This window comes from Homo sapiens, chromosome 3 (genome assembly GCF_000001405.40).
Source record: "Homo sapiens chromosome 3, GRCh38.p14 Primary Assembly".
Lineage (NCBI taxonomy): Eukaryota > Metazoa > Chordata > Mammalia > Primates > Hominidae > Homo > Homo sapiens.
Window position 1 is genome coordinate 90,823,564 of NC_000003.12, and position 15,131 is coordinate 90,838,694.

General features: G+C 37.6%; 1 annotated feature.

The window, feature by feature from the left end:
- Positions 1 to 15,131: part of a centromere (Linear centromere model derived predominantly from reads generated in PMID: 17803354. This region does not represent an actual centromere sequence, as long-range ordering of repeats and unmapped WGS contigs is not provided by the model. For details of model production, see http://arxiv.org/abs/1307.0035.) that runs on past both edges of the window.

Genomic DNA, 15,131 nt, shown 5'->3' on the forward strand with positions numbered 1-15,131 from the left:
TGAAACGTGATTTCTTCATTTACAACTAGACAGAAGAATTCTCCGAAACTTCTTTGTGATGTGTACTTTCAACTCACAGAGTTGAAGCTTCCTTTCAATAGAGCACTTTTGAAACTCAGTTTCTGTAGAATTTCCAGGTGGATATTTAGCGCCGTTTGAGGTCTATGGTGGAAAAGGCAATGTCTTCGTAGAAAAACTAGACAGAATGATTCTCAGAAGCTACCTTGTGATGTGTGGATTCAACTCACTGAGTTTAACCTTTCTTTTGATAGACCAGTTATGAAACATTCTTTTTGTGGAATCGGCAAGTAAATATTTGGACTTTTTGGAGGCCTTCATTGGAAACGGGGTTTCTTCATATAAACATTGTCAGAAGAATTCTCAGAAACTTCTCTGTGATGTGTGCGTTTAACTTCAGAGTTCAACCTTCCTTTTGATAGAAGAGTGTTGAAATATTCTTTTTGTAGAATTTCCAAGTGAATATTTAGAGCGGTTTCAGGCCTATGTAGAAGAGAAACTATCTTCACAGAAAAACTAGACATAATTGTTCTCTGAAGCTGCTCTGTGATGTGCGCATTCAGCTGACAGAGTTTAAACTTTCTTTGGATAGAGCGGTTTTAAACACTCTTTTTTTTGGAATTTGCAATTCTATATTTAGAGTGCTTTCAGGCCTGTGGTACAAAAGGGAATGTCTTCACATAAAATCTAGACAGAAGCATTGTCGGGAACTACTTTGTGATACCTGCCTTCAACTCTCAGAGTTGAATATTCCTCTTGAAGGAGCAGTTTTCTAAAACTCTTTTTGTTGAATCTCCAAGTGGATATTTGGACCTCTTCGTGGCCTTCGTTTGAAACGTGACTGCTTCATAGAAAAGTAGACAGAAGAATTCTCATCAACTTCTTCGTGATGTGTGCTTTCAACTCGCAGCGTTGAAGCTTCCTTTCGATAGAGCAGTTCAGTAACTCTCTTTTTGTAGAATTTCCAAGTGGATATTTAGCGCCGTTTGAGGCCAATGGTGGAAAAGGCAATATCTTCATAGAAAAACTAGACAGAATGATTCTCAGAAACAACTTTGTGATGTGTGCCTTCAACTCACAGAGTTTAACCTTTCTTTTGATAGAGCAGTTTTGAAAAACTCTTTTTGTAGAATCTGCAAGTGTATATTGGGACTTTTCTGAGGCCATCTTTGGAAACGGGATTTCTTCATATAAAACTTGAAAGAAGAATCCTCAGAAAATTATTTGTGATATGTGCATTTAACTCATGGAGTTGAAACTTCCTTTCGATAGAAGAGTTTTGAAATACTCTTTTTGTAGAATTTCCAAGTGGATTTTTACAGCGGTTTGAGGTCTATGGCAGCAAAAGAAATATCTTCACAGAAAAACTAGGCAGATTCATTCTCCGAAGCTGTTTTGTGATGCTTGCATTCAGCTGACAGAGTTTAAACTTCCTTTGATAGAGCAGTTTTGAAACACTCTTTTTGTGGAATTTGCAAGTGTCTCTTTAGAGCGTTTTGAGGCCTACAGTAGGAAAGGAAATATCTTCACCTAAAAACTAGACAGAAGTATTGTCAGAAACTTATTTGTGATATTTGCATTCAACGCACGGAGTTGAACATTCCTCTTGATGGAGCCGTTTTGAAGCACTCTTTTTGTGGAATCTGCAAGTGGATATTTGGACCTCTTTGTGGCCTTCGTGGGAAACGTGATTTCTTCATTTACAACTAGACAGAAGAATTCTCAGAAACTTCTTTGTGATGTGTACTTTCAACTCACAGAGTTGAAGCTTCCTTTCAATAGAGCACCTTTGAAACTCAGTTTCTGTAGAATTTCCAGGTGGATATTTAGCGCCGTTTGAGGCCTATGGTGGAAAAGGCAATATCTTCGTAGAAAAACTAGACAGAATGATTCTCAGAAACAACTTTGTGATGTGTGCGTTCAACACTCGGAGTTTAACCTTTCTTTTGATAGACTAGTTATGAAACACTCTTTTTGTAGAATCTGCAAGTAAATATTTGGACTTTTTTGAGGCCTTCATTGGAAACGGGATCTCTTCATATAAACCTTGACAGAAGAATTCCCAGAAAATTCTCTGTGATGTGTGCATTTAACTCTCAGAGTTCAACCTTCCTTTTGATAGAAGAGGGTTGAAATATTCTTTTTGTAGAATTTCCAAGTGAATATTTAGAGCGGTTTCAGGCCTAAGTAGAAGAGAAAATATCTTCACAGAAAAACTAGACATAATTGTTCTCTGAAGCTACTTTGTGATGTGCGCATTCAGCTTACAGAGTTTAAACTTTCTTTGGATCGAGCGGTTTTAAACACTCTTTTTGTGGAATTTGCAATTCTATATTTAGAGTGCTTTCAGGCCTGTGGTACAAAAGGGAATGTCCTCACATAAAATCTAGACAGAAGCATTGTCGGGAACTACTTTGGGATACCTGCCTTCAACTCTCAGAGTTGAATATTCCTCTTGATGGAGCAGTTTTGAAAAACTCCTTTTGTTGAATCTCCAAGTGGATATTTGGACCTCTTTGTGGCCTTCGTTTGAAACGTGACTGCTTCATACAAAAGTAGACAGAAGAATTCTCATAAACTTCTTCGTGATGTGTGCTTTCCACTCGCAGAGTTGAAGCTTCCTTTCGATAGAGCAGTCTTGTAACTCTCTTTTTGTAGAATTTCCAAGTGGATATTTAGCGCCGTTTGAGGCCTATGGTGGAGAAGGCGATATCTTCATCGAAAAACTAGACAGAATGATACTCAGAAACTACTCTGCGATGTGTGCCTTCAACTCACAGAGTTTAACCTTCTTTTTGATAGAGCAGTTTTGAAAAACTCTTTTTGTAGAATCTGCAAGTGTATATTGGGACTTTTCTGAGGCCATCTTTGGAAACGGGATTTCTTCATATAAAACTTGAAAGAAGAATCCTCAGAAAATTATTTGTGATATGTGCATTTAACTCATGGAGTTGAAACTTCCTTTCGATAGAAGAGTTTTGAAATACTCTTTTTGTAGAATTTCCAAGTGGATTTTTACAGCGGTGTGAGGTCTATGGCAGAAAAAGAAATATCTTCACAGAAAAACTAGGCAGATTCATTCTCCGAAGCTGTTTTGTGATGCTTGCATTAAGCTTACAGAGTTTAAAGTTCCTTTGATAGAGCAGTTTTGAAACACTCTTCTTGTGGAATTTGCAAGTGTATATTTAGAGCGTTTTGAGGCCCACAGTAGGAAAGGAAATATCTTCACATAAAAACTAGACAGAAGTATTGTCAGAAACTTATTTGTGATATTTGCATGGAACGCACAGAGTTGAACATTCCTCTTGATGGAGCAGTTTTGAAACACTCTTTTTGTAGAATCTGCAAGTGGATATTTGGACCTCTTTGTGGCCTTCGTTTGAAACGTGATTTCTTCATTTACAACTAGACAGAAGAATTCTCAGAAACTTCTTTGTGATGTGTACCTTCAACTCACAGAGGTGAAGCTTCCTTTCAATAGAGCACTTTTGAAACTCAGTTTAGGTAGAATTTCCAGGTGGATATTTAGCGCCGTTTGAGGCCTATGCTAGAAAAGGCAATATCTTCGTAGGAGAACTAGACAGAATGATTCTCAGAAACAACTTTGTGATGTGTGCGTTCAACCTCACGGAGTTTAACCTTTCTTTTGATAGACCAGTTATGAAACACTCTTTTTGTAGAATCTGCAAGTAAATATTTGGACTTTTCTGAGGCCTTCATTGGAAACGGGATCTCTTCATATAAACCTTGACAGAAGAATTCTCAGAAACTTCTCTGTGATGTGTGCGTTTAACTCTCAGAGTTCAACCTTCCTTTTGATAGAAGAGTGTTGAAATATTCTTTTTGTAGAATTTCCAAGTGAATATTTAGAGCGGTTTCAGGCCTATGTAGAAGAGAAACTATCTTCACAGAAAAACTAGACATATTTGTTCTCTGAAGCTACTTTGTGATTTGTGCATTCAGCTTACAGAGATTAACCTTTCTTTGGATCGAGCGGTTTTAAACACTCTTTTTGTGGAATTTGCAATTCTATATTTAGAGTGCTTTCAGGCCTGTGGTACAAAAGGGAATGTCTTCACATAAAATCTAGACAGAAGCATTGTCGGTAACTACTTTGTGATACATGGCTTCAACTCTCAGAGTTGAATATTCCTCTTGAAGGAGCAGTTTTGAAAAACACTTTTTGTTGAATCTCCAAGTGGATATTTGGTCCTCTTTGTGGCCTTCGTTTGAAACGTGACTGCTTCATACAAAAGTAGACAGAAGAATTCTCATAAACTTCTTGGTGATGTGTGCTTTCAACTCGCAGCGTTGAAGCTTCCTTTCGATAGAGCAGTTTAGTAACTCTCTTTTTGTAGAATTTCCAAGTGGATATTTAGCGCCGTTTGAGGCCTATGGTGGAAAAGGCAATATCTTCATAGAAAAACTAGACAGAATGATTCTCAGAAACTACTTTGTGATGTGTGCCTTCAACTCACAGAGTTTAACCTTCCTCTTGGTAGAGCAGTTTTGAAAAACTCTTTTTGTAGAATCTGCAAGTGTATATTGGGACTTTTCTGAGGCCATCTTTGGAAACGGGATTTCTTCATATAAAACTTGAAAGAAGAATCCTCAGAAAATTATTTGTGATATGTGCATTTAGCTCATGGGGCTGAAACTTCCTTTCGATAGAAGAGCTTTGAAATACTCTTTTTGTAGAATTTCCAAGTGGATTTTTACAGCGGTTTGAGGTCTATGGCAGAAAAAGAAATATCTTCACAGAAAAACTAGGCAGATTCATTCTCCGAAGCTGTTTGGTGATGTTTGCATTAAGCTGACAGAGTTTAAACTTCCTTTGATAGAGCAGTTTGGAAACACTCTTTTTGTGGAATTTGCAAGTGTATATTTAGAGCGTTTTGAGGCCTACAGTAGGAAAGGAAATATCTTCACATAAAAACTAGACAGAAGTATTGTCAGAAACTTATTTGTGATATTTGCATTCAACGCACAGAGTTGAACCTTCCTCTTGATAGAGCAGTTTTGAAACCCTCTTTTTGCAGAATCTGCAGGTGGATATTTGGACCTCTTTGTGGCCTTCGTTTGAAACGTGATTTCTGCATTTACAACTAGACAGAAGAATTCTCAGAAACGTCTTTGTGATGTGTACTTTCAACTCACAGAGTTGAAGCTTCCTTTCAATAGAGCACTTTTGAAACTCAGTTTCTGTAGAATTTCCAGGTGGATATTTAGCGCCGTTTGAGGCCTATGGTGGAAAAGGCAATATCTTCGTAGAAAAACTAGACAGAATGATTCTCAGAAACAACTTTGTGATGTGTGCGTTCAACTCACGGAGTTTAACCTTTCTTTTGATAGACCAGTTATGAAACACTCTTTTTGTAGAATCTGCAAGTAAATATTTGGACTTTTTTGAGGCCTTCATTGGAAACGGGATCTCTTCATATAAACCTTGACAGAAGAATTCTCAGAAACTTCACTGTGATGTGTGCCTTTAACTCTCAGAGTTCAACCTTCTTTTTGATAGAAGAGTGTTGAAATATTCCTTTTGTAAAATTTCCAAGTGAATATCTAGAGCGGTTTTAAGCCTATGTAGAAGAGAAACTATCTTCACAGAAAAACTAGACATAATTGTTCTCTGAAGCTACTCTGTGATGTGCGCATTCAGCTGACAGAGTTTAACCTTTCGTTGGATAGAGCGGTTTTAAACCCTCTTTTTGTGGAATTTGCTATTCTATCTTTAGAGTGCTTTCAGGCCTCTGGTACAAAAGGGAATGTCTTCACATAAAATCTAGACAGAAGCATTGTCGGAAACTACTTTGTGATACCTGCCTTCAACTCTCAGAGTTGAATATTCCTCTTGATGGAGCAGTTTTGAAAAACTCTTTTTGTTGAATCTCCAAGTGGATATTTGGACCTCTTTGTGGCCTTCGTTTGAAATGTGACTGCTTCATACAAAAGTAGACAGAAGAATTCTCATAAACTTCTTCGTGATGTGTGCTTTCAACTCGCAGAGTTGAAGCTTCCTTTCGATAGAGCAGTTTTGTAACCCTCTTTTTGTAGAATTTCCAAGTGGATATTTAGCGCCGTTTGAGGCCTATGGTGGAAAAGGCAATATCTTCATAGAGAAACTAGACAGAATGATTCTCAGAAACTACTTTGTGATGTGTGCCTTCAACTCACAGAGTTTAACCTTTCTTTTGATAGAGCAGTTTTGAAAAACTCTTTTTGTAGAATCTGCAAGTGTATATTGGGACTTTTCTGAGGCCATCTTTGGAAACGGGATTTCTTCATATTAAACTTGAAAGAAGAATCCTCAGAAAATTATTTGTGATATGTGCATTTAACTCATGGAGTTGAAACTTCCTTTCGATAGAAGAGTTTTGAAATACTCTTTTTGTAGAATTTCCAAGTGGATTTTTACAGCGGTGTGAGGTCTATGGCAGCAAAAGAAATATCTTCACAGAAAAACTGGGCAGATTCATTCTCCGAAGCTGTTTTGTGATGCTTGCATTCAGCTGACAGAGTTTAAACTTCCTTTGAAAGAGCAGTTTTGAAACACTCTTTTTGTGGAATTTGCAAGTGTATATTTAGAGCGTTTTGAGGCCTACATTGGGAAAGGAAATATCTTCACCTAAAAACTAGACAGAAGTATTGTCAGAAACTTATTTGTGATATTTGCATTCAACGCACAGAGTTGAACATTCCTCTTGATGGAGCAGTTTTCAAACCCTCTTTTTGCAGAATCTGCAGGTGGATATTTGGACCTCTTTGTGGCCTTCGTTTGAAACGTGATTTCTACATTTACAACTAGACAGAAGAATTCTCAGAAACTTCTTTGTGATGTGTACCTTCAACTCACAGTGGTGAAGCTTCCTTTCAATGGAGCACTTTTGAAACTCAGTTTTGGTAGAATTTCCAGGTGGATATTTTGCGCCGTTTGAGGCCTATGGTAGAAAAGGCAATATCTTCGTAGGAGAACTAGACAGAATGATTCTCAGAAGCTACTTTGTGATGTGTGGGTTCAACTCACTGAGTTTAACCTTTCTTTTGATAGACCAGTTATTAAACACTCTTTCTGTGGAATCGGCAACTAAATATTTGGACTTTTTTGAGGCCTTCATTGGAAACGGGGTTTCTTCATATAAACCTTGACAGAAGAATTCCCAGAAACTTCTCTGTGATGTGTGCATTTAACTCTCAGAGTTCAACCTTCCTTTTGATAGAAGAGGGTTGAAATATTCTTTTTGTAGAATTTCCAAGTGAATATTTAGAGCGGTTTCAGGCCTAAGTAGAAGAGAAAATATCTTCACAGAAAAACTAGACATAATTGTTCTCTGAAGTTATTTTGTGATGTCCGCCTTCAGCTGACAGAGTTGAACCTTTCTTTGGATAGAGCGGTTTTAAACACTCTTTTTGTGGAATTTGCAATTCTATACTTAGAGTGCTTTCAGGCCTGTGGTACAAAAGGGAATGTCTTCACATAAAATCTAGACAGAAGCATTGTCGGAAACTACTTTGTGATACCTGCCTTCAACTCTCCGAGTTGAATATTCCTCGTGATGGAGCAGTTTTGAAAATCTCTTTTTGTTGAATCTCCAAGTGGATATTTGGGCCTCTTTGTGGTCTTCGTTTGAAAAGTGACTTCTTCATACAAAACTAGACAGAAGAATTCTCATCAACTGCTTCGTGATGTGTGCTTTCAACTCGCAGCGTTGAAGCTTCCTTTCGATAGAGCAGTTCTGTAACTCTCTTTTTGTAGAATTTCCAAGTGGATATTTAGCGCCGTTTGAGGCCAATGGTGGAAAAGGCAATATCTTCATAGAAAAACTAGACAGAATGATTCTCAGAAACTACTTTGTGATGTGTGCCTTCAACTCACAGAGTTTAACCTTTCTTTTGATAGAGCAGTTTTGAAAAGCTCTTTTTGTAGAATCTGGAAGTGTATATTGGGACTTTTCTGAGGCCATCTTTGGAAACGGGATTTCTTCATATAAAACTTGAAAGAAGAATCCTCAGCAAAATTATTTGTGATATGTGCATTTAACTCATGGAGTTGAAACTTCCTTTCGATAGAAGAGTTTTGAAATACTCTTTTTGTAGAATTCCCAAGTGGATTTTTACAGCGGTTTGAGGTCTATGGCAGCAAAAGAAATATCTTCACAGAAAAACTAGGCAGATTCATTCTCCGAAGCTGTTTTGTGATGCTTGCATTAAGCGGACACAGTTTAAACTTCCTTTGATAGAGCAGTTTGGAAACACTCTTTTTGTGGAATTTGCAAGTGTATATTTAGAGCGTTTTGAGGCCTACAGTAGGAAAGGAAATATCTTCACATAAAAACTACACAGAAGTATTGTCAGAAACTTATTTGTGATATTTGCATTCAACGCACAGAGTTGAACATTCCTCTTGATGGAGCAGTTTTGAAACCCTCTTTTTGCAGAATCTGCAGGTGGATATTTGGACCTCTTTGTGGCCTTCGTTTGAAACGTGATTTCTTCATTTACAACTAGACAGAAGAATTCTCAGAAACTTCTTTGTGATGTGTACTTTCAACTCACAGAGTTGAAGCTTCCTTTCAATAGAGCACCTTTGAAACTCAGTTTCTGTAGAATTTCCAGGTGGATATTTAGCGCCGTTTGAGGCCTATGGTGGAAAAGGCAATATCTTCGTAGAAAAACTAGACAGAATGATTCTCAGAAGCTACTTTGTGATGTGTGGGTTCAACTCACTGAGTTTAACCTTTCTTTTGATAGACCAGTTATGAAACACTCTTTTTGTGGAATCTGCAAGTAAATTTTTGGACTTTTTTGAGGCCTTCATTGGAAACGGGGTTTCTTCATATAAACCTTGACGGAAGAATTCTCAGAAACTTCTCTGTGATGTGTGCGTTTAACTCTCAGAGTTCAACCTTCCTTTTGATAGAAGAGTGTTGAAATATTCTTTTTGTAGAATTTCCAAGTGAATATTTAGAGCGGTTTCAGGCCTATGTAGAAGAGAAACTATCTTCACAGAAAAACTAGACACAATTGTTCTCTGAAGCTACTCTGTGATGTGCGCATTCAGCTTACAGAGTTTAACCTTTCTTTGGATCGAGCGGTTTTAAACACTCTTTTTGTGGAATTTGCAATTCTATGGTTAGAGTGCTTTCAGGCCTTTGGTACAAAAGGGAATGTCTTCACATAAAATCTAGACAGAAGCATTGTCGGAAACTACTTTGTGATACCTGCCTTCAACTCTCAGGAGTTGAATATTCCTCTTGATGGAGCAGTTTTGAAAGACTCTTTTTGTTGAATCTCCAAGTGGATATTTGGACCTCTTTGTGGCCTTCGTTTGAGACGTGACTGCTTCATACAAAAGTAGACAGAAGAATTCTCATCAACTTCTTCGTGATGTGTGCTTTCAACTCGCAGCGTTGAAGCTTCCTTTCGATAGAGCAGTTCTGTAACTCTCTTTTTGTAGAATTTCCAATTGGATATTTAGCGCCGTTTGAGGCCAATGGTGGAAAAGGCAATATCTTCATAGAAAAACTAGACAGAATGATTCTCAGAAACTACTCTGTGATGTGTGCCTTCAACTCACAGAGTTTAACCTTCCTTTTGATAGAGCAGTTTTGAAAAACTCTTTTTGTAGAATCTGCAAGTGTATATTAGGACTATTCTGAGGCCAAATTTGGGAACGGGATTTCTTCATATAAAACTTGAAAGAAGAATCCTCAGAAAATTATTTGTGATATGTGCATTTAACTCATGGAGCTGAAACTTCCTTTCGATAGAAGAGCTTTGAAATACTCTTTTTGTAGAATTTCCAAGTGGATTTTTACAGCGGTTTGAGGTCTATGGCAGAAAAAGAAATATCTTCACAGAAAAACTAGGCAGATTCATTCTCCGAAGCTGTTTTGTGATGCTTGCATTAAGCTTACAGAGTTTAAACTTCCTTTGATAGAGCAGTTTTGAAACACTCTTTTTGTGGAATTTGCAAGTGTATATTTAGAGCGTTTTGAGGCCTACAGTAGGAAAGGAAATATCTTCACATAAAAACTAGACAGAAGTATTGTCAGAAACTTATTTGTGATATTTGCATGGAATGCACAGAGTTGAACATTCCTCTTGATGGAGCAGTTTTGAAACACTCTTTTTGTAGAATCTGCAAGTGGATATTTGGACCTCTTTGTGGCCTTCGTTTGAAACGTGATTTCTTCATTTACAACTAGACAGAAGAATTCTCAGAAACTTCTTTGTGATGTGTACCTTCAACTCACAGAGTTGAAGCTTCCTTTCAATAGAGCACCTTAGAAACTCAGTTTTTGTAGAATTTCCAGGTGGATATTTAGCGCCGTTTGAGGCCTATGGTAGAAAAGGCAATATCTTCATAGGAGGACTAGACAGAATGATTCTCAGAAGCTACTTTGTGATGTGTGGGTTCAACTCACTGAGTTTAACCTTTCTTTTGATAGACCAGTTATGAAACACTCTTTCTGTGGAATCTGCAAGTAAATTTTTGGACTTTTTTGAGGCCTTCATTGGAAACGGGGTTTCTTCATATAAACCTTGACAGAAGAATTCTCAGAAACTTCTCTGTGATGTGTGCATTTACCTCTCAGAGTTCAACCTTCCTTTTGATAGAAGAGTGTTGAAATATTCTTTTTGCAGAATTTCCAAGTGAATATTTAGAGCGGTCTCAGGCCTATGTGGAAGAGAAACTATCTTCACGGAAAAACTAGACATAATTGTTCTCTGAAGCTACTCTGTGATGTGCGCATTCAGCTGACAGAGTTTAACCTTTCTTTGGATAGAGTGGTTTTAAACCCTCTTTTTGTGGAATTTGCAATTCTGTATTTAGAGTGCTTTCAGGCCTGTGGTACAAAAGGGAATGTCTTCACATAAAATCTAGACAGAAGCATTGTCGGAAACTATATTGTGATACCTGCCTTCAACTCTCAGAGTTGAATATTCCTCTTGATGGAGCAGTTTTGAAAAACTCTTTTTGTTGAATCTCCAAGTGGATATTTGGACCTCTTTGTGGCCTTCGTTTGAAACGTGACTTCTTCATAGAAAACTAGACAGAAGAATTCTCATCAACTTCTTCGTGATGTGTGCTTTCAACTCGCAGCGTTGAAGCTTCCTTTCGATAGAGCAGTTCGGTAACTCTCTTTTTGTAGAATTTCCAAGTGGATATTTAGCGCCGTTTGAGGCCAATGGTGGAAAAGGCAATATCTTCATAGAAAAACTAGACAGAATGATTCTCAGAAACTACTCTGTGATGTGTGCCTTCAACTCACAGAGTTTAACCTTCCTTTTGATAGAGCAGTTTTGAAAAACTCTTTTTGTAGAATCTGCAAGTGTATATTGGGACTTTTCTGAGGCCAACTTTGGAAACGGGATTTCTTCATATAAAACTTGAAAGAAGAATCCTGGGAAAATTATTTGTGATATGTGCATTTAACTCATGGAGTTGAAACTTCCTTTCGATAGAAGAGTTTTGACATCCTCTTTTTGTAGAATTTCCAAGTGGATATTTACAGCGGTTTGAGGTCTATGGCCGAAAAAGAAATATCTTCACAGAAAAACTAGGCAGATTCATTCTCCGAAGCTGTTTTGTGATGCTTGCATTCAGCTGACAGAGTTTAAACTTCCTTTGATAGAGCAGTTTGGAAACACTCTTTTTGTGGAATTTGCAAGTGTATATTTAGAGCGTTTTGAGGCCTACAGTAGGAAAGGAAATATCTTCACCTAAAAACTAGACAGAAGTATTGTCAGAAACTTCTTTGTGATATTTGCATTCAACGCACAGAGTTGAACATTCCTCTTGATGGAGCAGTTTTGAAACCCTCTTTTTGCAGAATCTGCAGGTGGATATTTGGACCTCTTTGTGGCCTTCGTTTGAAGCGTGATTTCTTCATTTACAACTAGACAGAAGAATTCTCAGAAACTTCTTTGTGATGTGTACCTTCAACTCACTGAGGTGAAGCTTCCTTTCACTAGAGCACTTTTGAAACTCAGTTTTGGTAGAATTTCCAGGTGGATATTTTGCGCCATTTGAGGCCTATGGTAGAAAAGGCAATATCTTCGCAGGAGAACTAGACAGAATGATTCTCAGAAGCTAATTTGTGATGTGTGGGTTCAACTCACTGAGTTTAACCTTTCTTTTGATAGACCAGTTATGAAACACTCTTTCTGTGGAATCGGCAAGTAAATATTTGGACTTTTTTGAGGCCTTCATTGGAAACGGGGTTTCTTCATATAAACCTTGACAGAAGAATTCTCAGAAACTTCTCTGTGGTGTGTGCGTTTAACTCTCAGAGTTCAACCTTCCTTTTGATAGAAGAGTGTTGAAATATTCTTTTTGTAGAATTTCCAAGTGAATATTTAGAGCGGTTTCAGGCCTATGTAGAAGAGAAACTATCTTCACAGAAAAACTAGACATAATTGTTCTCTGAAGCTGCTCTGTGATGTGCGCATTCAGCTGACAGAGTTTAACCTTTCTTTGGATAGAGCGGTTTTCAACACTCTTTTTGTGGAATTTGCAATTCTATATTTAGAGTGCTTTCAGGCCTGTGGTACAAAAGGGAATGTCTTCGCATAAAATCTAGACAGAAGCATTGTCGGGAACTACTTTGGGATACCTGCCTTCAACTCTCAGAGTTGAATATTCCTCTTGATGGAGCAGTTTTGAGAAACTCTTTTTGTTGAATCTCCAAGTGGATATTTGGACCTCTTTGTGGCCTTCGTTTGAAACGTGACTGCTTCATACAAAAGTAGACAGAAGAATTCTCATAAACTTCTTCGTGATGTGTGCTTTCAACTCGCAGCGTTGAAGCTTCCTTTCGATAGAGCAGTTTAGTAACTCTCTTTTTGTAGAATTTCCAAGTGGATATTTAGCGCGGTTTGAGGCCTATGGTGGAAAAGGCAATATCTTCATAGAAAAACTAGACAGAATGATTCTCAGAAACTACTCTGTGATGTGTGCCTTCAACTCACAGAGTTTAATCTTCCTTTTGATAGAGCAGTTTTGAAAAACTCTTTTTGTAGAATCTGCAAGTGTATATTGGGACTTTTCTGAGGCCATCTTTGGAAACGGGATTTCTTCATAGAAAACTTGAAAGAAGAATCCTCAGAAAATTATTTGTGATATGTGCATTTAACTGATGGAGCTGAAACTTCCTTTCGATAGAAGAGCTTTGAAATACTCTTTTTGTAGAATTTCCAAGTGGATTTTTACAGCGGTTTGAGGTCTATGGCAGAAAAAGAAATATCTTCACAGAAAAATTAGGCAGATTCATTCTCCGAAGCTGTTTTGTGATGCTTGCATTAAGCGGACAGAGTTTAAACTTCCTTTGATAGAGCAGTTTGGAAACACTGTTTTTGTGGAATTTGCAAGTGTATATTTAGAGGGTTTTGAGGCCTACAGTAGGAAAGGAAATATCTTCACATAAAAACTACACAGAAATATTGTCGGAAACTTACTTGTGATATTTGCATTCAACGCACAGAGTTGAACATTCCTCTTGATGGAGCAGTTTTGAAACACTCTTTTTGCAGAATCTGCAGGTGGATATTTGGACCTCTTTGTGGCCTTCCTTTGAAACGTGATTTCTTCATTTACAACTAGACAGAAGAATTCTCAGAAACTTCTTTGTGATGTGTACCTTCAACTCACAGAGGTGAAGCTTCCTTTCAATAGAGCACTTTTGAAGCTCAGTTTTGGTAGAATTTCCAGGTGGATATTTAGCGCCGTTTGAGGCCTATGGTAGAAAAGGCAATATCTTCGTAGGAGAACTAGACACAATGATTCTCAGAAGCTACTTTGTGATGTGTGGGTTCAACTCACTGAGTTTAACCTTTCTTTTGATAGACCAGTTATGAAACACTCTTTTTGTGGAATCTGCAAGTAAATTTTTGGACTTTTTTGAGGTCTTCATTGGAAACGGGGTTTCTTCATATAAACCTTGACAGAAGAATTCCCAGAAACTTCTCTGTGATGTGTGCATTTAACTCTCAGAGTTCAACCTTCCTTTTGATAGAAGAGGGTTGAAATTTTCTTTTTGTAGAATTTCCAAGTGAATATTTAGAGCGGTTTCAGGCCTAAGTAGAAGAGAAAATATCTTCACAGAAAAACTAGACATAACTGTTCTCTGAAGCTACTTTGTGATGTGCGCATTCAGCTTACAGAGTTTAACCTTTCTTTGGATCGAGCGGTTTTAAACACTCTTTTTGTGGAATTTGCAATTCTATATTTAGAGTGCTTTCAGGCCTGTGGTACAAAAGGGAATGTCCTCACATAAAATCTAGACAGAAGCGTTGTCGGAAACTAGTTTGTGATACCTGCCCTCAACTCTCAGAGTTGAATATTCCTCTTGACGGAGCAGTTTTGAAAAACTCTTTTTGTGGAATCTCCAAGTGGATATTTGGACCTCTTTGTGGCCTTCGTTTGAGACGTGACTTCTTCATACAAAACTAGACAGAAGAATTCTCATAAACTTCTTCGTGATGTGTGCTTTCAACTCGCAGAGTTGAAGCTTCCTTTCGATAGAGCAGTCTTGTAACTCTCTTTTTGTAGAATTTCCAAGTGGATATTTAGCGCCGCTTGAGGCCTATGGTGGAGAAGGCGATATCTTCATAGAAAAACTAGACGGAATGATTCTCAGAAACTACTTTGTGATGTGTGCCTTCAACTCACAGAGTTTAACCTTTCTTTTGATAGAACAGTTTTGAAAAACTCTTTTTGTAGAATCTGCAAGTGTATATTGGGACTTATCTGAGGCCATCTTTGGAAACGGGATTTCTTCATATAAAACTTCAAAGAAGAATCCTCAGAAAATTATTTGTGATATGTGCATTTAACTCATGGAGCTGAAACTTCCTTTCGATAGAAGAGCTTTGAAATACTGTTTTTGTAGAATTTCCAAGTGGATTTTTACAGTGGTTTGAGGTCTATGGCAGAAAAAGAAATATCTTCACAGAAAAACTAGACAGATTCATTCTCCGAAGCTGTTTTGTGATGCTCGCATTCAGCTGACAGAGTTTAAACTTCCTTTGAGAGAGCAGTTTGGAAACACTCTTTTTGTGGAATTTGCAAGTGTATATTTAGAGCGTTTTGAGGCCTACAGTAGGAAAGG